The following is a 19405-nucleotide window of genomic DNA, read 5'->3' as shown; positions in this document are numbered from 1 at the left end:
CTCGCTTCTTTCTCGGAATCCCAGCCTCTTGACGCCACATTTCCCGCCTATGCCAAAAGAGAGAGAAGGCTTTCAAAGATAACTACAACTCCCTGCCGGCCGGGGGAAAAATAACTTCCGCGGGCATCGTGGCCCCTTCGCCTCATGGGAGCTGTAGTTTTCCCATTTATTTTCGCCCCACGAAGTGCCTGGAAGTTATAGCGCGGTAGCAATTGCATAGCCTTTCTTATGAGTTTCTTTCTTCTTCTTCTTATTATTCGAGACAGGGTTTGCTCTGTCACCCAGGTTGGAGTGCAGTGGCGCAATCACTTCTCACTGCAGCCTCTACCTCCCAGGCCCAAGCAATCCTCCCGCGTCAGCCTCCCAAGTAGATGGGACCACAGGCCACACTACCATGCCTGGCTAATGTATATTTTTTAAATTTTTAATACAAATATTTAAATCTTTAATTCTTTTTTAGCCTTTTTTTTTTTTTAACGTTCTGTCTTTCACACTTCTCACACTTTGTTGTTGTTGTTTTTTAAAGAGACGGATGTCAAGCCGGGCTTGGGGGTTCACTCCTGTAATCCCAGCACTTTGGGAGGCTGAGGCAGGCAGATCACCTGAGGTCAAGGGTTTGAGACCAGCCTGGCCAACATGGAGAAACCTCGCCTCCACTAAAAATACAAATTAGCCAGGCGTGGTTGCGCATGCCTGTAATCCCAGCTACTCAGGAAGCTGAGGCAGGACAATCTCTTAAACCCGGGAGGCGGAGGTTGCAGTGAGCCGAGATCGCGCCACTGCACTCCAGCCTGGGCGACAGAGTGAGACTACGTCTCAAAAAAAAAAAAAAATCTCTGTGTTGCTGGTCTGGATCTGGATCTCCTGGACTCAAGCAATCTTGCCTCCCCGTCTCCGCCTCCCAAAGTGCTGGGATTACAGGCGTGAGCCACTGCGCCCCGCCTCTTTTAAGTTTCTTGTAAGCGAGATGTGTACAGTGAGGCCGCGAGGTCTCTGGTCTCCCGCTCTCTCTCTCTCTTTTTTTTTTTTTTTTTGAGACGGTGTCTACCTCTGTCACACAGGCTGGAGTGCAGTGGCGCGATCTCAGCTCACTGCGAGCTCCGCCTCCCGGGTTCACGCCATTCTCCTGCCTCAGCCTCCCGAGTAGCTGGGACTACAGGCGCCCGCCCGCCACAACGCCCGGCTAATTTTTTTGTGTATATATATATATTTTTTTTTAGTAGAGACGGGGATTCACCATGTTAGCCAGGATGGTCTAGATCTCCTGACCCCGTGATCCGCCCGCCTCGGCCTCCCAAAGTGCTGGGATTACAGGCGTGAGCCACCGCGCCGGGCCGGTCTCTGGTCTCTTTAAGGAACCCCCACACGGCATTCGTGTTCAGAACCCCCGGAGCAGGGTTGCCTGGCTGCATCAGTGACCGAGTTCGTTACTTTGTTGGAAGTGGAGAGTGGAGGGTCAGAAGGGAGTGGACCAGTTCAGGTCCCAGAGGGAATCCTCCCTCCCTCTGAGCCGTCTTTCTTCTCCTCCCTATTTCGCAGATATCCCGAGATTAGGTCCCCAGCTTCCAAAGAGAGGATCAGGTATGTTTAGAGATTGGCCAGAGAGGCAAGGTACCGAGGCATCAATGTGAGCAGCCTCTCCAGGCACCTGGTGAGGAGAACAAGTCTCCCGGATCCCAGGCAGGTGGGCAGTGGAGTTCTAGGCCGCTGGGGGCTGGGTGTTTGAAGTGCACAGTCCTGAGTTCTGATGCCTGGGTGCTGGAGAATTAGATATTTGGGGGAGAGAGAAGCGGACTTGCGGACCCCCGTGGGAAGCTGGAAACAGGCTACTAGATCCCGACAGGAGTGGGTGCTGGGATTCGGGCTGCCTGGGTCCGGAAGCAAATTTAAAGGTAAGGATCAGGCCGGGCACTGTGGCTCATGCCTGTAATCCTAGCACTTTGGAAGGCCAAGGCGGGCAGATCACCTGAGGTCAGGAGTCCGGCACCAGCCTGGCCAACATAGTGAAAACCGGTATCTACTAAAATACAAAAAAATTAGGCAGAATAGCGGACGCCTGTAGTCCCAGCTACTCGGGAGGCTGAGGCAGGAGAATCGCTTGAACCCAGGAGGTGGAGGTTGCAGTGGCCGAGATGGCGCCACTGCACTGCAGCCTGGGCGACAGAGCGAGGCTCAGCTGTCTCTAAATACATAAATAAATAAATAAATAAATAAATAAATAAGGCTAAAGATTAGGTGCTGGTGGGCAGGATCCATTGGGATGTTGGTTCTGATCCTGACTCCTCATTCTTGCTTCTGCAGAATGTCTCAGGATAATGACACATTGATGAGAGAGTGAGTAGGGAAACAGATGGGTAGGGGTGGAGGTGGAAAGGGCTGGGGACCCCGTGCACTCGGCTCTGGCTTCATAACCATGTTTGCAGGTTCAGCACCATCGGCCTTGCAGGAAGGGGCTGGGGACCTGGACTCCTGTGTCCTGAAGGGATGGGGCTAGGGTGCAGACTTCTGGGTCTGAAAGAGAAGGGGTTGGGGGCCCCAGACTCCTGAATCCTGAGACAGGAGGGACCTGGGATCTCTGGGTCCCGGCTTCTGTGGGCCAGTGCCAGGAGAAAGGGCCCTATAACTGGTGGAGCAGGCTCAGGTTCTGCACCTCCTGTGACCTCACAGGTGCCCAGAACCCAAGCTGAGATAGGGGCAGGATGGGGGAAGGAGGGACTCTCTTGGGCAACCGAGGTTCCCTGTGCACTGTCACCATGGGCCTGTGTCTCTCTCAGCATCCTGGGGCATGAGCTCGCTGCTATGAGGCTGCAGAAGCTGGAACAGCAGGTATTGTGCCCAGGAATCTCACCACTCCAACTCTTCCGCCTTCTGTGCCTCCCCAGGGGCCTCTCCACCAGGTCTTGCTCTAGGACTCCCAGCCCGTGTTGGCTGTCTCTCATCCTTGAGTTTTCCCACTGAGAAATGAGAAAATAGGAATTTGGGGCCGGGCAGGGCAGCTCACGGCTGTAATCACAGCACTTTGGGATGCTGAGGTGGGCGGATCACTTGAGGTCAGGAGTTCAAGACAAGCCTGGCCAACACGGCGAAACCCCGTCTCTACTAACACACAAAAAATTAGCCAGGTGTGGTGGCAGGCGCCTGTAATCCCAGCTACTCGGGAGGCTGAGGCAGGAGAATCGTTTGAATCCGGGAGGCGGAGGCTGCAGTGAGCGGAGATCGTGGTACTGCACTCCAGCCTGGGCGATAGAGCCAGACTCTGTCTCAAAAAGAAAAAAAAAAAGTAAGAAAGGAAAAAGAAAAGAAAATAGGAATTGGGGGTTCTAAAGAAGCAAACAAACCCTTGTGATGAATTTCTAAGGAACAAGGCTTCTAGAAGGCAGGACTCCTGGGTCCTGGGGGATGAGAGGACAGGGTGTCAGGACTCTTGGATCTGAGTCCAACGGTGGAATAAGGGAGGAGCTGCTGAAGAACTGAGGGCCTGGACGTGTGGGCCCCAGTGGAGGAAGGGGTTCACGAACTCTCGCGCCGATGCGAGCCCTTGCCCCAGGCCCCACCTCACTTCTGTCTTCCCATCTGGTTCCTGTCCCGGACACCCACCTCTCCCATCTCCCCAGCGGCGGCTGTTTGAAAAGAAGCAGCGACAGAAGCGCCAGGAGCTCCTCATGGTTCAGGCCAATCCTGACGCTTCCCCGTGGCTTTGGCGCTCTTGTCTGCGGGAGGAGCGCCTTTTAGGTGACAGAGGTGACCAAAGACCCCTGGGGGCGTTCGCCTGGAGGGGAGGGGCCTGTGGGAGTCTGTGGGCGGGGCCTAGTGGATGAAGGGGTGGAGCCTTAGGGTGGGGACTTGGCAGTGGATGGGGGCGGGCCTTGGCCCAGGAGAGCTTTAGAACAGGGCCTGTGGGCGCCCAGGGGAGAGGCTTGTGGGGGCCCCCCGCGGCAGGACCTGTGAGGGAGGGGTTCGGGGCAGGGCTACAGAGCGCAGGGGCGGGGCATGGTACAACTAGCAGGGGAAAGGGGCAAGAGAATGTGATGATTGGGCTTGGCAGAGCTCGGTGGTGGAGCCTGGGAAAGCCGGGACCCCCACCCCAAACCCGGGATTGCGGAGACGGGGTCTAGGGGTCCGGGGCGGGGCGCGGTCTCATTACGAGAGCCTGGCGCGAGATTCTTTACGTGCGGAGCCCGCAACAATCCAGCGGCAGGGCTGTGCTTGTTTGAGGCTTAGGATGCAGTTTGGGACCTGGGTCTCAAGGTTTGGGCGGTCCGCGAAACAGGGTGATTTTTTTTTCTTTTTTGAGACGGAGTTTAGCTCTTGTTGCCAAAGCTGGAGTACAATGGCAGGATATCGGCTCACCGCAACCTCCGTCTCCCGGGTTCAAGCGATTCTCCTGCCTCAGCCTCCCGAGTAGCTGTGATTACAGGCATGCGCCACCAAGCCCGGCTAATTTTGTGTTTTTAGTAGAGACGGTGTTTCTCCATGTTGGTCAGGCTGGTCTCGAACTCCCGACCTCAGGTGATCCGCCTGCCTCGGCCTCCCAAAGTGCTGGGATTACAGGCGTGAGCCACGGCGCCTGGCGGGGGTGATATTTGGGAGCCCAGTGACGGGGTGGATTTTGGTTGAGGACCGGAATTTGTAGATCGTTTTCATGGGCTCGCTGAACCTTCTCCCAGGCCTTGGGAACCCTTTCCTCCGGAAGAAAGTGTCAGAGGCACATCTGCCCTCTGGCATCCACAGTGCCCTGGGCACCGTGAGCTGTGGTGGAGACGGCAGGGGCGAGCGCGGCCTCCCGACACCGCGGACAGAAGCAGGTATTTGCGAGTCCACCGACCTCCTAGACCCCAGAACTCCGTCCCCACTAAAACCCAGGAGTCTGGTGCCTCAATCCATCTGTCCAAAATACTCAGGAGCTCAGGACCGCACCCACTCCTTCCTCACACCAAGGAGTTCAGGTCCTGAGCCGCCTCCTCCTGCAGCATCCAGAAATCCAACTCTCCCCTCCTTCCTTCCTCAGTGTTCAGGAATCTCGGTCTCCAGTCCCCTTTCTTATCCTGGCTCCCAGACAATTCCGATGCAGAATTGGAGGAAGTCTCCGTGGAGAATGGTTCCGTCTCTCCCCCACCTTTTAAACAGTCTCCGAGAATCCGACGCAAGGGTTGGCAAGCCCACCAACGACCTGGTAATTTAGGGGACATTGGGGTGAAACCTGGGATCTCCTGGTTCATGCAGCAAATCTTCCCCTTTCTTAGGCAGCAGCTTCACTGAAGTATAATTCACAAACCATACAAGTCACCCATTTAAAGTTCACAATTCCATGGTTTCCAGTACACGGTCGCCCCTCGGTATCTGCAGGTGATGTGTTCCAGGAACCCCACAGATACCAAGATCCGCAGACGCCAAAGTCCCTTATATAAAATGGTGTAAAATTTGCATATAAACTATGAACATCCCCCCATATACTGTAAGTCATCTCTAGATAACTTATAATACCTAATACAGTATAAATGCAATGTAAATATTTGTTGCTGTTGTTGTTGGGAGGGAGTCTCACTCTGTCGCCTAGGCTGGAGTGCAGTGGCGTGATCTTGGCTCACTGCAACCTCCGCCTCCTAGGTTCAAGCTATTCTCCTGCCTCAGCCTCCCAAGTAGCTGGGACTACAGGTGCGCATCACCACGCCCAGCTAATTTTTGTATTTTTAGTAAAGATGGGGTTTCACCATGCTGGCCGGACTGGTCTTAAACTCCTGACCTCATGATCCACCCACCTCAGCCTCCCAAAGTGCTGGGATTACAGGCATAAACCATCATGCCTGGCCCGTAAATAGCTGTTATATGTTATTTAAAAAAATTTTTAAAAATAAAGTGCCTGTAATTCCAGCACTTTGGGAGGCTGAGGCTGGTTGGTCACTTCAGTCCAGGAATTTGAGACGAGCCTGGCCAACGTGACGAAACCATGTCTCTACTAAAAATACAAAAATTAGCCAGGCAAGGGGGTGCAGGCTTGTAATCCCAGATACTCCGGAGGCCAAGGCAAGAGAGTCACTTGAACCCAGGAGGCCGAGGTTGCAGTGAGCCGAGATCATGCCACTGTACTCCAGCCTGGGTGACAGAGCAATACTCTGTCTCAAAGAAAAAAAAAATTGGTTCTGTTATTTATTGTCATCTTGTTGTTTTTCAATTTCTTTCCTGAATATTTTGGGTCAGCAGTGGGGATGTGGAGCCTGTAGGATACGAGAAGCTAACTATATTTATATAATTCTGCAACCGTCACCACAATCAATTTTAGAACATTTGTATCACCCCAGATAGAGATCCTGCATCATGGCTGGGCGCGGTGGCTCACGCCTGTAATCCCAGCACTTTGGGAGGCAAAGGTGGGTGGATCACCTGAGGTCAGGAGTTCAAGACCAGTCTGGCCAACATGGTGAAACCCAGTCTCTACTAAAAATACAAAAATTAGCTGGGCGTGGTGGCATGCACCTGTAATCCTAGCTGCTGGGGAGGCTGAGGTGGAAGAATTGCTTGAACCCAGGAGACAGAGGTTGCAGTAAACTGAGATCAGGCTACTGCATTCCAGCCAGGGTGAAAGAGCGAGACTTTGTCTCAAGGAAAAAAAAAAGAAAGAAAGAAATAGTGCATCAATTAGCAGTCACCCCTTTTCCATTTACCCCAGCCCTTGGCAACCACCAACCTCCACTGTCTTCTTAGATTTGGCTATTCTGTACATTTCACACAAATGGAATCGTATACATATGTGGTCTTTTGTATGTGGCTTCTTTCTTCAATTCCTTTTTTTTTTTTTTTCTTGAGGCAGAGTCTTGCTCTGTCTCCCAGGCTGGAATGCAATGGCGCGATCTCAGCTCACTGCAACCTCTGCCTTCTGGGTTCAAGCGATTCTCCTGCCTCAGCCTCCCGAGTAGCTGGGGTTACAGGCGCGTGCCACCATGCTCGGCTAATTTTTTGTGTTTTTTAGTAGAGACAGGGTTTCACCATGTTGGCACAGCTGGTCTCAAACTCCTGAACTTGTGATCTGCCTGCCTCGGCCTCCCAAAGTGCTGGGATTACAGGCGTGAGCTAATGCACCTGGCCTCTTTTGCTTTGAGATGGTGTGTCACTATGTTGCCTAGGCTGGTCTTGAACTCCTGGGCTCAAGTGATCCTCTCACCTTGGCTTCCCAAAGTGCTGGGATTACGGGTGTGAGCCACCGTGTGTCTTCATTCACCTCATTCACCTAATGATTTTTTTTTTTTTTGAGACGGAGTCTCACTCTGTCACCTAGGCTGTGTGGGGAAAAGAAAGAGAGATCAGATCGTTACTTTGTCTATGTAGAAAAAGGAAGACATAAGAAACTCCATTTTGATCTGTACTAAGAAAAACTGTTCTGCTGGCTGGGCGCGGTGGCTCACGCCTGTAATCCCAGCACTTTGGGAGGCCGAGGCGGGCGGATCACGAGGTCAGGAGATCGAGACCACAGTGAAACCCCACGTTTACTGAAAATACAAAAAATTAGCCGGTTGCGGTGGTGGGCGCCTGTAGTCCCAGCTATTCGGGAGGCTGAGGCAGTAAAACGGCGTGAACCCGGGAGGCAGAGCTTGCAGTGAGCTGAGATCGCGCCACTGCACTCCAGCCTGGGTGACAGAGCAAGACTCCGTCCCCCCCCCAAAAAAAAAAAGAAAAACTGTTCTGCTTTGAGATGCTGTTAATCTGCAACTCTTGTCCCAACCCTGTGCTCACAGAAACATGTGTTATATTGACTCAAGTTTTAAGGGATTTAGGGCTGGGCAGGATGTGCTTTGGTAAAAATGGTTTTGCAGGCAGTATGCTTTGTGAAAGTCATTGCCATTCTCCATTCTCTATTAACCAGAAACATAACACACTGTGGAAGGCTGCAGGGACCCCTGCCCAAGGAAGCCTGGGCATTGTCCAGGATTTCCCCGACTGAGACAGCCTGAGATATGGCCTCGTGGGAAGGGAAAGACCTGACGGTCCCCCAGCCCGACACCCGTAAAGGGTCTGTGCTGAGGAGGATTAGTGAGAGAGAAAGGCCTCCATGCGGTTAAGATAAGAAGGAGGCATCTGTCTCCTGCACGTCTCTGGAAATGGAATGACTCAGTGTAAAACCGACCATACATTCTATTCTGAGATAGGAGAAAACCACCTTATGGCTGGAGGCGAGACATCATGGCGGCAATACTGCTCTTTACTGCACTGGGATGTTTATGTAAAGTTAAACATAAATCCAGCCTATGTGCACATCCAGGCACAGCACCTTTCCTTAAACTTATTTATGACACAGAGTCTTTTGTTCACATGTTTTCCTGCTGACCCTCTCCCCACCATCACCCTATAGTCACACCAAATTCCCCTCACCAAGATAGTAAAGATAGTGATCAATAAATACTGAGGGAACTCAGAGATCAGCGCTGGTGCGGGTCCTCACTTGCGGAGCACTGGTCCCCTGGGCCCACTTTTCTTCCTCTATACTTTGTCTCTGTGTCTTCTTTCTTCTCTCAGCCGCTCGTCTCCACCTTGCGAGAAATACCCACGGGTGTGGAGGGGCAGGCCCCCTTCAGGCTGGAGCGCAGTGGCACGATCTCGGCTCACTGCAACCTCTGCCTGGCTGGGTTTAAGCGATTCTCCTGCCTCAGCCTCCTGAGTAGCTGGAACTGCAGGTGCACGCTGCCACGCCCTGCTAATTTTTGTATTTTTAGTAGAGACCGGTTTCACTATGTTGGCCAGGCTGATTTTGAACTACTGACCTCGTGATCCGCCCACCTCCGCCTCCCAAAGTGCTGGGATTACAGGCATGAGCCACCGCCCCTGGCCCACCTAACAAATTTTTTTTTTTTTTTTGAGACGGAGTCTCGCCCTGTTGCCCAGGCTGGAGTGCAGTGGCACAATCTCGGCTCACTGCAAGCTCCGCCTCCCGGGTTCACACCATTCTCCTGCCTCAGCCTCCCAAGTAGCTGGGACTACAGGCGCCGGCCACCACACCCGGCTAATTTTTTTTTTTTTTTTGTATTTTTAGTAGAGACGGGGTTTCACCATGTTTGCCAGGATGGTCTCGATCTCCTGACCTCGTGATCCGCCCGCCTCGGCCTCCCAAAGTGCTGGGATTACAGGCGTGAGCCACCGTGCCCGGCCATAAAATTTTAAGGTTCATCCGTGTGGTAGTATTATCAGTACTTCATTCCTTTTTATTCCCTTATAATATTCCATTGTGGTGACGTTTCCTTTTATTTTCATGAGATGGCCAATGATTTCAATGACAGAATTATTATCACCCCAAACTCCATCCCCCCATCTTCAGTCTCTGTGATGCTTTGTCTGAGATAAGGAAAAGGAAAGACCCTAACCCCTCCCTGTCCTTAGATCCAGGGTAATCAGAAACTCTGGCCCTTGTAGACTTCCGTGCACCTGGAGGAGGAGGAGGTTGTTGCAAGTGAGGGCGCTGAGTCATGAGTAGGGACTGAGAACCCAGGAGTTCTGGCCATCTCTGGCTAGCACTGATGATGGTGTCCCACACTCCTGGGATCCAGCTGTCCTGAGCTTAGTCCAGGCTTCTTTCATCCTTTAGGTGAAGGGGTGGGTTGCCCCTCCACACCTGTGGGTTCGTTAGGTGGAACGAGAGACTTGGAAAAGAAAAAGACACAGAGACAAAGTATAGAGAAAGAAATAAGGGGACCCAGGGAACCAGCGTTCAGCATATGGAGGATCCCGCCAGCCTCTGAGTTCCCTTAGTATTTATTGATCATTTGTGGGTGTTTCTCCGAGAGGGGGATGTGTCAGGGTCACAAGACAATAGTGGGGAGAGGGTCAGCAGACAAACACGTGAACAAAGGTCTTTGCATCATAGACAAGGTAAAGAATCAAGTGCTGTGCTTTTAGATATGCATACACATAAACATCTCAATGCTTTACAAAGCAGTATTGCTGCCCGCATGTCCCACCTCCAGCCCGAAGGCGGTTTTTCCCTATCTCAGTAGATGGAACGTACAATCGGGTTTTATACCGAGACATTCCATTGCCCAGGGACGGGCAGGAGACAGATGCCTTCCTCTTGTCTCAACTGCAAGAGGCATGCCTTCCTCTTATACTAATCCTCCTCAGCACAGACCCTTTACGGGTGTCGGGCTGGGGGACGGTCAGGTCTTTCCCTTCCCACGAGGCCATATTTCAGACTATCACATGGGGAGAAATCTTGGACAATACCTGGCTTTCCTAGGCAGAGGTCCCTGCGCCCTTCCGCGGTGTTTGTGTCCCTGGGTACTTGAGATTAGGGAGTGGTGATGACTCTTTAGGAGCATGCTGCCTTCAAGCATCTGTTTAACAAAGCACATCTTGCACCGCCCTTAATCCATTTAACCCTGAGTGGACACAGCACATGTTTCAGAGAGCACGGGGTTGGGGGTAAGGTTATAGATTAACAGCATCCCAAGGCAGAAGAATTTGTCTTAGTACAGAACAAAATGGAGTCTCCTATGTCTACTTCTTTCTACACAGACACAGTAACAATCTGATCTCTCTTGCTTTTCCCCACATTAGGGACCCGTGCAGAGGGTGAGAGTGACTCCCAGGATATGGGAGATGCACACAAGTCACCCAATATGGGACCAAACCCTGGAATGGATGGTGACTGTGTATATGAAAACTTGGCCTTCCAAAAGGTAGGAAAATGCACAATCACTCAGGATATTGGAAGAAGAGGGCTAGCCTCGGACCTCTGGTGAGGGTGGGGCTAAAATTCTGCCACCCAATCAGAAGCTCTTTTTCCTGGTGGTGATTAAGCTGGCAGAGACTTGTGTGTGTGCGTGCGTGCGTGCGTGCGTGCATGTGTGTGTGTGTACCATTCATCAAATCAGAGGATTTGACTTGACATGGACATGGCCATTAAAATACAGCTTATGGTATGGTGGCTCACGCCTGTAATCCCAGCACTTTGGGAGGCTGAGGTGGGCAGATCACTTGAGGTCAGGAGTTCGTGACCAGCCTGGCCAACGTGGTGAAACCCTGTCTCTAGTAAAATACAAAAATTAGCCAGGTGTGGTGGCGCACGCCAGTAATCCCAACTACTCAGGAGGCTGAGGCAGGAGAATCACTTGAACCTGGGAGGCGGAGGTTGCAGTGAGCTGAGATTGCACTCCAGCCCGGGAGACAGAGTGAGACTGTCCAAAAAAAAAAAAAAATAGGTGCAGCCATGGAAAGACAGCGAGCTTCAGAAAGGGCAGAACACTGATCGAAAAGGGCCAGTTGCAGGCCAGGAACGGTGACTCACGCCTGTAATCCCAGCACTTTGGAAGGCCGAGGCAGGCAGATCACCTGAGGTCAGGAGTTCCAGACCAGCTTGGCCAACTTGGTGAAGCCCCGTCTCTACTAAAAATACAAAAATTAGCTGGGCGTGGTGGCGAAAGCCTGTAATCCTAGCTACTTGGGAGGCTGAGGCAGGAGAATTGCTTGAACCTGGGAGGCAGAGGTTGCAGTGAACCGAGATCGAGTCACTGCACTCCAGCCTGGGCGACAGAGCGAAACTCTGTCTTAAAAAATAAAAGAAAAGGGCCAACTGGCACTCACTTTGGTGTTGGTGAAAGTGCAGTAGATGGTTTCTCTTGAGGGTAGATCTGGGCTGTATTATGTTATCTAGATCAAACTAACAGCCATTTTAACGGAATGGGCCTTGCTTTCAGAAAGGAATTTTCCAATCAGCAGGTGGAATGCGTGTGGCTGCAGAGGAAAGCGAATAGACTGGCCAGTCAACAGAGGAGGGCGTGACTGGGTGGACTGAATGAGATTTTTGACCAATAAGCAGAAAATGTGGATGGGCAAGGGCGGGACCCTAGGGCTGGGATGGTCAATCAGTAGTAAGCAAGGCTGGGCCGGTGGTTGTCCCTCGACTTTAAATTTGGTGCCTGGGCTAGGAAGAAGACTTGGAAAAGAAGAGAGAGGCCTCTGAGTCTACAGGGACGAACTCCTCAGCAGCACACAACGAAGAGTTGTCCAAGGCCCTGAAAGGCGAGGGTGGCACGGACAGCGACCATATGAGGCACGAAGCCTCCTTGGCAATCCGCTCCCCCTGCCCTGGGCTGGAGGAGGACATGGAAGCCTACGTGCTGCGGCCAGCGCTCCCGGGCACCATGATGCAGTGCTACCTCACCCGTGACAAGCACGGCGTGGACAAGGGCTTGTTCCCCCTCTACTACCTCTACCTGGAGACCTCTGACAGCCTGCAGGTGCAGTAAGCCAGCCCAACAGCTTTGGGAGTAAGCCCCCACCTCCCAGGCAAAATCCCACTCCTTTCTGAGCTAGGTCAAGACCAGCCTGGGGCTGGGCACAGTGGCTCACGCCTATAATCCCAGCACTTTGGGAGGCTGAAGCGGGTGGATCACCTGAGGTCCGGAGTTCAAGACCAGCCTGACCAATATGGTGAAACCCCGTCTCCACTAAAAATACAAAAATTAGCCGGGAGTGGTGGCAGGCGCCTGTAGTCCCAGCTACTCAGGAGGCTGAGACAGGAGAATCGCTTGAACCTGGGAAGCGGAGGTTGCAGTGAGCCGAGATTGCATCACTGCACTCCAGCCTAGGCGACAGAGGAAGACTCCATCTCAAAAAACAAAAAACCAACCAACAAACACAAAAAAGACCAGCCTGAACAACATGGCAAAACCCCGTCTTTACAAAAAATACAAAATTGGTTGGGCATGGTGGTATGTGCCTGTAGTCCAAGCTACTCGGGAGGCTGAGGTGAGAGGATTGCTTGAGCCTGGGAGTTCAAGGCTGCAGTGAGATGTGATCACGCTACTGCACTCCAGCCTGGGCGACAGAGTTAGACTCTGCATAAAAAAAAAAAAAAAAAAAAAAAAAAAAAAAAGGGCTGGGCGCGGTGGCTCACACTTGTAATCCTAGCACTTTGGGAGGCCGAGGCGTGCAGATCACAAGGTCAGGAGTTCGAGACCAGCCTGGCCAACAAGGCGAAACATCGTCTCTACTAAAAAATACAAAAGTTAGCCAGGCGTGGTTGTGGGCGCCTGTAATCCCAGCTACTCAGGAGGCTGAGGCAGGAGAATGCTTGAAACTCGAAGGCGGAGGTTGCAATGAGCTGAGATCTCACACCACTGCACTCCAGCCTGGGTGAAAGAGCGAAACTCCATCTCAAAAAAAAAAAAAAAAGGCCGGGCACGGTGGTTCACGCTTGTAATCTCAGCATTTTGGAGGCCAAGGCAGGTGGATCATTTGAGCTGACAAGTTCCAGATCAGCTTGGGCAGCAAGGTGGAACCCTGTCTCTACAAAAAAAAAAAAAAAATTAGCCAGGCCTGGTGGTGCCCACCTGTAGTCCCAGCTACTTGGGAGGCTGAGGCTGAGGGAAAATGGCTTGAGTCCAGGAGGTGGAGATCTTGTGTCAAAAAAAAAAAAATAGTCTGGACCCTCCCTCACTGAGCCTTTCTTGCTATAAGCTATCAGGCCTCACTCAATCCTGAGATAAATCCTGCCCCCAGCAACCAGGTCCCTCCCCTGGTTTGTCTTTCCAGATCCAAGCCCCACTTCTCTCAATCTAGTCTTTCTGGCCTTTACCCTGCAAGTATGGTCTCCTCTCCTCGGGGTATCCTCTCTCCCCCTAGAAAGAGGTTTTTTGCCCTACTCAGAGCCAACCAAACCCATTTTTCTTGGTGAAACGCCTACCAAAGTCCTGCTGCAATATTGCAAGTGAGGGTGCTCCCCATTCTCCAAAGCCAGACCCTTCCTGGGCTAAGCTTCAACTCTGGACCCATAGGCAGAAGGAATGAGGAGGAGATATTAAGATAGGAAGCTTCCATTCAGGACCCAGCTGATGGCTTCCCTCAGTGAGAACCACATTTCCCAGTAAGTCTTTTTTTTTTTTTTTTGAGACGTAGTCTTGCTCTGTCGCCCAGTGCAGTGGCGCGATCTCGGCTCACTGCAAGCTCCGCCTCCCAGGTTCACGCTATTCTCCTGTCTCAGCCTTCTGAGTAGCTGGGACTACAGGCGCCCGCCACCACGCCTGGCTAATTTTTTGTATTTTTAGTAGAGACGGGGTTTCACCGTGTTAGCCAGGATGGTCTCAATCTCCTTACCTCGTGATCTGCCCGCCTGGGCCTCCCAAAGTGCTGGGATTACAGGCATGAGCCACTGTGCCCGGCCTCCCAGTAAGTCTTGAGAAGCTTGTTGTGCCATCACTGGCTCCTCTATCATGGGACATGACGTTTCCTTGTCTTTGGACCCCTGGCTCTAACCAGCTTCCAGAAGTCCATTTTTCTTTCATTATTTTTTATTTTTGTTTTGAGATGGAGTCTCAGTCTATTGCCCAGGCTGGAGTGCAGTGGTGCGATCTCAGCTCACTGCAACCTCTGCCCCCTGGGTTCAAGCAATTCTCCTGCCTTAGCCTCCCTACTAGCTGGGACTATAGGCACGCACTACCACGCCTGGCTAATTTTTTTTATTTTTAGTAGAGACGGGGTTTCACCATGTTGGCCAGGCTGGTCTCGAACTCCTGTCCTCAAGTGATCTGCCCGCCGCAGCCTCCCAAAGTGCAGGGATTACAGGCATGAGCCACCACACCCAGCATCCAGAAGTCCATTCTAATGGACTGTTCCTCTCATCCATAGCGCTTCCTCCTGGCTGGGCGAAAGAGAAGAAGGAGCAAAACTTCTAATTACCTCATCTCCCTGGATCCTACACACCTATCTCGGGACGGGGACAATTTCGTGGGCAAAGTCAGGTGGGTAGAGCTCTGACATGTGGTGAGGAGCAGGTAGCAGGGAGCTTAGGGACAGGGGGACTCCATTTCCCAGCAGGCCACAGAGCATACCTTCCACCTGCTCAGGGACCAGAAGAACTGAAGGGTTTGGAACGTAGGCTGGCATTTAAGGCATTTGACTCCTTGACAGGCAAGGGACTGGGATTCCTAACTTTCTGTGGGAAAAGAGGCCTGGAATGTGTGAATTATTGCATCCAAAAAGGTAGAGGGAGTGGCGAGGTGGCTCACGCCTATAATCTCAGCACTTTGGGAGGCAGAGGCGGGAGGATCACTTGAGGTCAGGAGCTTGAGACCAGCCTGGCCAACATGGTGAAACCCCGTCTCTACCAAAAATACAAAAATTAGCCAGGCATAGTGGCGTGAACCTGTAATCCCAGCTACTTGGGAGGCTGATGCAGGAGAATCACTTGATCCCAGGAGGCAGAGGTCTTGGTAAGCTAAGATTGAGCCACTGCACTCCAGCTTGGGCAACAGAAAAAAAAAAAAAAAAAAAAAAAAAAGAGGGTTCCTAAAGGGCCCTTTAAATAAAATAGGGAGGCTACATAAAGTACATGGCTCACCCAAGAAATGAGGGGGCCTGGGACCATGGATGCTGGAAACATGGTTGTTTCATTTATTTAATTATTATTATTATTATTGAGACAGAGTTTCACTTTTGTTGCCCAGGCTGGAGTGCGATGGCGTAATCTCGGCTCACTACAACCTCCGCCTCCCAGGTTCAAGCAATTCTCCTGCCTCAGCCTCCTGAGTAGCTGGGATTACAGGCATGCACCACCACGCCTGGCTAATTTTGTATTTTTAGTAGAGACGGGGTTTCTCCATGTCTGTCAGGCTGGTCTTGAACTCCCAACCACAGATGATCCACCCGCCTTGGCCTCCCAAAGTGCTGGGATTACAGGTGTGAGCCACCGTACCCGGCCTCATTTATTTAATTATTTATTTTTATTTATTTATATATTTATTTAGAGACAGGGTTTCATTCTGTCACCCAGGCTGGAGTGCAGTGGCAAGATCACGGCTCATTGGAGGCTTGACCTCTGGGGCTCAGGTGATCCTCCCACCTCAGCCTCTTGAGAGCTGGGACCATAGACACAAACTGCCACGCCCAACTAATTTTTCTATTTTTTGTAGAGAAGGAGTTTTGCCATTTTGCCCAGGCTCAAGCTATCCTCCTGCCTCTGCCTCCTGAAGTGCTGGGATTACAGGTGTGAGCCCCTGTGCCCAGCCAGGAACATGATTCTTAGACATTCGGACATAGTCTTAGACATAGGGGATTGATGGGAAGAGTCGATGCGATGAGTGACACTTACTCAAAGAGTAACACTTAGTATTTTTATTCTATCCATTCCCTTCCTGGAGCAGATCCAATGTCTTCAGCACCAAGTTCACCATCTTTGACAATGGGGTGAATCCTGACCGGGAGCATTTAACCAGGAATACTGCCCGGATCAGACAGGAGCTGGGGGCTGTGTGTTATGTGAGTGTCCTGGGGATGAGAGAATGGGGTAGGATAGTCAGAAGAAGGAACCAGGCCAACTGGAATGTAATACCCCCAGGAGCCCAACGTCTTAGGATACCTGGGGCCTCGGAAAATGACTGTGATTCTCCCAGGAACCAACAGCCAGAACCAGCGAATCAATGTCCAGCCACTAAATGTGAGTCCCTGACATCAGGAATCTCTGGGTCAATGGAGAAGGGGCTGGGGCCGGTCCTCCTAGATCCCAGAGGAGGAAGAAGAAGAGGAGGAAGAGGAGGCCAGTGGGTTGCAGGTGTCACATGAAGCCTGAAGGACTTTGTTAGCCTTCCATGTCTCAGGGAGTAAAAGACTAGAGACTCAAAACATTTGCATCTGGAGAAAAAAGGTTTGATGGTAGGTTAACAAACTTACCAAAAAGGGGTCTGATCCAGACTCCAAGAGAGGGTTCTTGGATCTCAGGCAAGAAAGAATTTGGGGCCAGTCCGTAGAGTCAAGTGAAAGCAAGTTTATTAGAGAAGAAATAAAAGAATGGCTACTCCATAGGCAAAGCAGCCTTGAGGCCAGCTGGTTGGCTATTTTTATGGTTATTTCTTGATTATATGCTAAACGAGGTGGATTATTCATTAATTTTCTGGGAAAGGGGTGGGCAATTCCCAGAACTGAGGGTTCCTGCTTCTTTTAGACTCTCTCTTTCTTTCTTTTTTTTTTTTTTTGAGACAGAGTCTTGCTCTGTCGCCCAGGCTGGAGTGCAGTGGCGCGATCTCGGCTCACTGCAAGCTCGACCTCCCCGGCTCACGCCATTCTCCTGCCTCAGCCTCCTGAGTAGCTGGGACTACAGGCGCCCGCTACCATGCCCGTCTAATTTTTTATATTTTTAGTAGAGCCGGGGTTTCACTGTGTTAGTCAGGATGGTCTCGATCTCCTGACCTCGTGATTCACCCGCCTCGGCCTCCCAAAGTGCTGGGATTACAGGCGTGAGCCACCGTGCCCGGCAGTAACCTCTCTTACAAGCAAAATTTATTCAAAGACCTGTGCTAACATTCTTAAATATCTGTTAGCCATAATAAAGAAATCAGTGTACTTTACGTTTTTAGCTCCCACAATTTACCCTAAATATTTGCCCTGGCATGCTTGTACCGGTCCAAGCAAGCATTAGGTCATAGCCTGTTCCTCTTCCTTATTTGAAGGTGTTTTTACCTTTCTCAACATTCCACAAGTTACTTCCTCCTTACTTTGTATTCTTCTGCTTTTCCCTCTTTTAAAAAGTTCTAAGTTGCTAGCCAATTGGGACAAATACAGAACGTGAGGTCCCGTTCCAGCCAATGGAAACCCTACACGGCAGTAGGGTGGATGCGCCAGGTTATAAATGACCCTGTCTCCTTTGTTCAGTGTACTCTCATGGCAAAACTCCTGGTGAGTGTACCCTTTCTGCAGAAAGTTAAAAAATGGCCTTGCTGAGGAAATTAAATTTATGCTCAAGTGCTATTTCTTTACTGCACCGGGGAACAAGCATTTCTAACATTGTGATACCAGTCCTGTCAAACTCCTGTCTCATCCTGTGACTAAGAATGCCTAACCTCCTGGGAACGCAGCCCAGCAGGTCTCATCCTCATTTTACCCAGCCCCTGTTCAAGATGGAGTCGCCCCTGTTCAAGATGGAGTCGCCCCTGTTCAAGATGGAGTTTCGAAAGCCTCTGAGAAAACCACAGCCCCTTCTTTACCTTCTAGGAACAGGAGTCGCTACTGAGTCGTTACCAACGTGGGGACAAACAAGGGTTGCTTTTGTTGCACAACAAAACCCCGTCGTGGGACAAGGAGAACGGTGTCTACACGCTCAATTTCCATGGTCGAGTCACTCGGGCTTCGGTGAAGAACTTCCAAATCGTGGATCCCAAACACCGTGAGCTCCTGGAAACCAGTTTAGCCGGGCCAGGTGGGGTGGGGGTTAGGGTGTGAACGGAAGGGAACTACATCTCCCATCATCACTTGAGCGTTTTTCTAGGCAGGGCAGATGCCACCCTATTGCAAAGCCTATTGGGAATTGTAGTTTACACACCCTCAGGGTTTCTGGCTTAGTAAGGGCACCGCTCAGCCTCTTAAAAGTCTCCATTCTCGGCCTGGCGCGGTAGCTCCCGCTTATAATCCTAGCACTTTGGGAGACCGAGGTGGGTGGATCATCTGAGGTCAGGAGTTCAAGAACAGCCTGGCCAACATGGTGAAACCCTGTCTCTACTAAAAATACAAAAATTAGGCCGGGCACTGTGGCTCACACCTGTAATCCCAGCACTTTGGGAGGCCGAGGCGGGCGGATACGAGGTCAGGAGATTGAGACCATCCTGACTAACACGGTGAAACCCCGTCTCTACTAAAAACACAGAAAAAATTAGCTGGGTGTAGTGGTGGTCACCTGTAGTCCCAGCTAATCAGGAGGCTGAGGCAGGAGAATGGTGTGAACCCGGGAGGCGGAGCTTGCAGTGAGCCGAGATCGCGCCACTGCTCTCCAGCCTGGGCAACAGAGCGAGACTCCATCTCAAAAAAAAAAAAAAAAAAAAAAATTAGCCGGACGTGGTGGCACATGCCTGTAATCCTAGCTACTTGGGAGGCTGAGGCAGAAGAACTGCTTGAACCTGGGAGGTGGAGGTTGCAGTGAGCCAAGATCAGGTCACTGCACTCCAGCCTGGGCGACAGAGCAAGACTCTGTCTCAAAAAAAAAAAAAAAAGAAAAAAAAAAAAAAAAAGTCTCAGTTCTCGAAGCTGGGAGATGAGAGAGTCAGGCTAAGGCTTTGTTCCTGATTCACTTCTCAGAAGAACATCTGGTGCTCCAGTTCGGCCGAGTGGGCCCAGACACATTCACCATGGACTTCTGCTTTCCATTTAGCCCGCTCCAGGCCTTCAGCATCTGCTTGTCCAGTTTCAATTAGAAGCTGGCTGTTGAATAACTCAATAAAATACCATACCCTTGCCAGCTTCTGTGCCTCCTCATTTGGAGGAAGGGCCCCGACATGCCTTCTTTTGCACCACCTTAATAACCAACACTGACCGGGCAAGGTGGCTCACGCCTGTAATCCCAACACTTTGGCAGGCTGAAGCTGGTGCATCACCTGAAGTCAGGAGATCGAGACCAGCCTGGCCAACATGTGAAACCCCGTCTCTACTAAAAGTACAA

At 51.3% G+C, this 19405-nt stretch overlaps 1 protein-coding gene across 1 annotated transcript, besides 6 other annotated features; it reads left to right on the top strand.

Moving 5' to 3' along the window:
• Positions 683-1682: a transcriptional cis regulatory region, noted in NCBI's record as "promoter|chr19:49401746-49402745 region (GRCh37/hg19 assembly coordinates) targeted for CRISPR interference". NCBI's record gives its function as "positively regulates expression of NUCB1 and negatively regulates expression of BAX in K562 cells {active_cell/tissue: K562}" and the evidence as "EXISTENCE:mutant phenotype evidence [ECO:0000015][PMID:31784727]".
• Positions 683-2032: a biological region, named in NCBI's record as "CRISPRi-FlowFISH-validated BAX and NUCB1 regulatory element". NCBI's record gives its function as "regulatory_interactions: BAX | NUCB1".
• Positions 1217-2032: an enhancer, noted in NCBI's record as "H3K4me1 hESC enhancer chr19:49401396-49402211 (GRCh37/hg19 assembly coordinates)". NCBI's record gives its function as "activates a minimal SCP1, AML or CMV promoter by ChIP-STARR-seq in primed H9 embryonic stem cells {active_cell/tissue: H9 hESC(primed)}" and the evidence as "EXISTENCE:reporter gene assay evidence [ECO:0000049][PMID:30033119]".
• On the top strand, positions 1427-19204 carry TULP2 (TUB like protein 2). Its single transcript, NM_003323.3, has 13 exons — positions 1427-1581; positions 2302-2334; positions 2775-2826; positions 3615-3741; positions 4668-4805; positions 5009-5173; positions 10540-10661; positions 11910-12221; positions 14611-14723; positions 16125-16239; positions 16319-16417; positions 17968-18139; positions 19045-19204. Exons 2-13 carry the CDS (start codon positions 2303-2305, stop codon positions 19158-19160), a joined length of 1563 nt encoding a protein of 520 aa, NP_003314.2. The 5' UTR covers positions 1427-1581; position 2302; the 3' UTR covers positions 19161-19204.
• Positions 3914-4053: a silencer, noted in NCBI's record as "silent region_10906". NCBI's record gives its function as "represses an Ori minimal core promoter by ATAC-STARR-seq in GM12878 lymphoblastoid cells {active_cell/tissue: GM12878}" and the evidence as "EXISTENCE:reporter gene assay evidence [ECO:0000049][PMID:35858748]".
• Positions 4480-5295: an enhancer, noted in NCBI's record as "H3K27ac-H3K4me1 hESC enhancer chr19:49398133-49398948 (GRCh37/hg19 assembly coordinates)". NCBI's record gives its function as "activates a minimal SCP1, AML or CMV promoter by ChIP-STARR-seq in primed H9 embryonic stem cells {active_cell/tissue: H9 hESC(primed)}" and the evidence as "EXISTENCE:reporter gene assay evidence [ECO:0000049][PMID:30033119]".
• Positions 11719-12613: an enhancer, noted in NCBI's record as "H3K27ac-H3K4me1 hESC enhancer chr19:49390815-49391709 (GRCh37/hg19 assembly coordinates)". NCBI's record gives its function as "activates a minimal SCP1, AML or CMV promoter by ChIP-STARR-seq in primed H9 embryonic stem cells {active_cell/tissue: H9 hESC(primed)}" and the evidence as "EXISTENCE:reporter gene assay evidence [ECO:0000049][PMID:30033119]".
• Positions 19205-19405: the final 201 nt, after the last annotated feature.

This window comes from Homo sapiens, chromosome 19 (genome assembly GCF_000001405.40).
Source record: "Homo sapiens chromosome 19, GRCh38.p14 Primary Assembly".
NCBI lineage: Eukaryota > Metazoa > Chordata > Mammalia > Primates > Hominidae > Homo > Homo sapiens.
This window is presented reverse-complemented; position numbering and strand designations above follow the sequence as displayed.

Coding starts and splice junctions, on each gene's coding strand:
- TULP2 (NM_003323.3), top strand. CDS start 2,303: ATGTCTCAGGATAATGACACATTGATGAGAGA. Junction 10,662..11,909: donor AAAACTTGGCCTTCCAAAAG/GTAGGAAAATGC, acceptor TGCCTGGGCTAG/GAAGAAGACTTGGAAAAGAA. Junction 18,140..19,044: donor AATCGTGGATCCCAAACACC/GTGAGCTCCTGG, acceptor TTCACTTCTCAG/AAGAACATCTGGTGCTCCAG.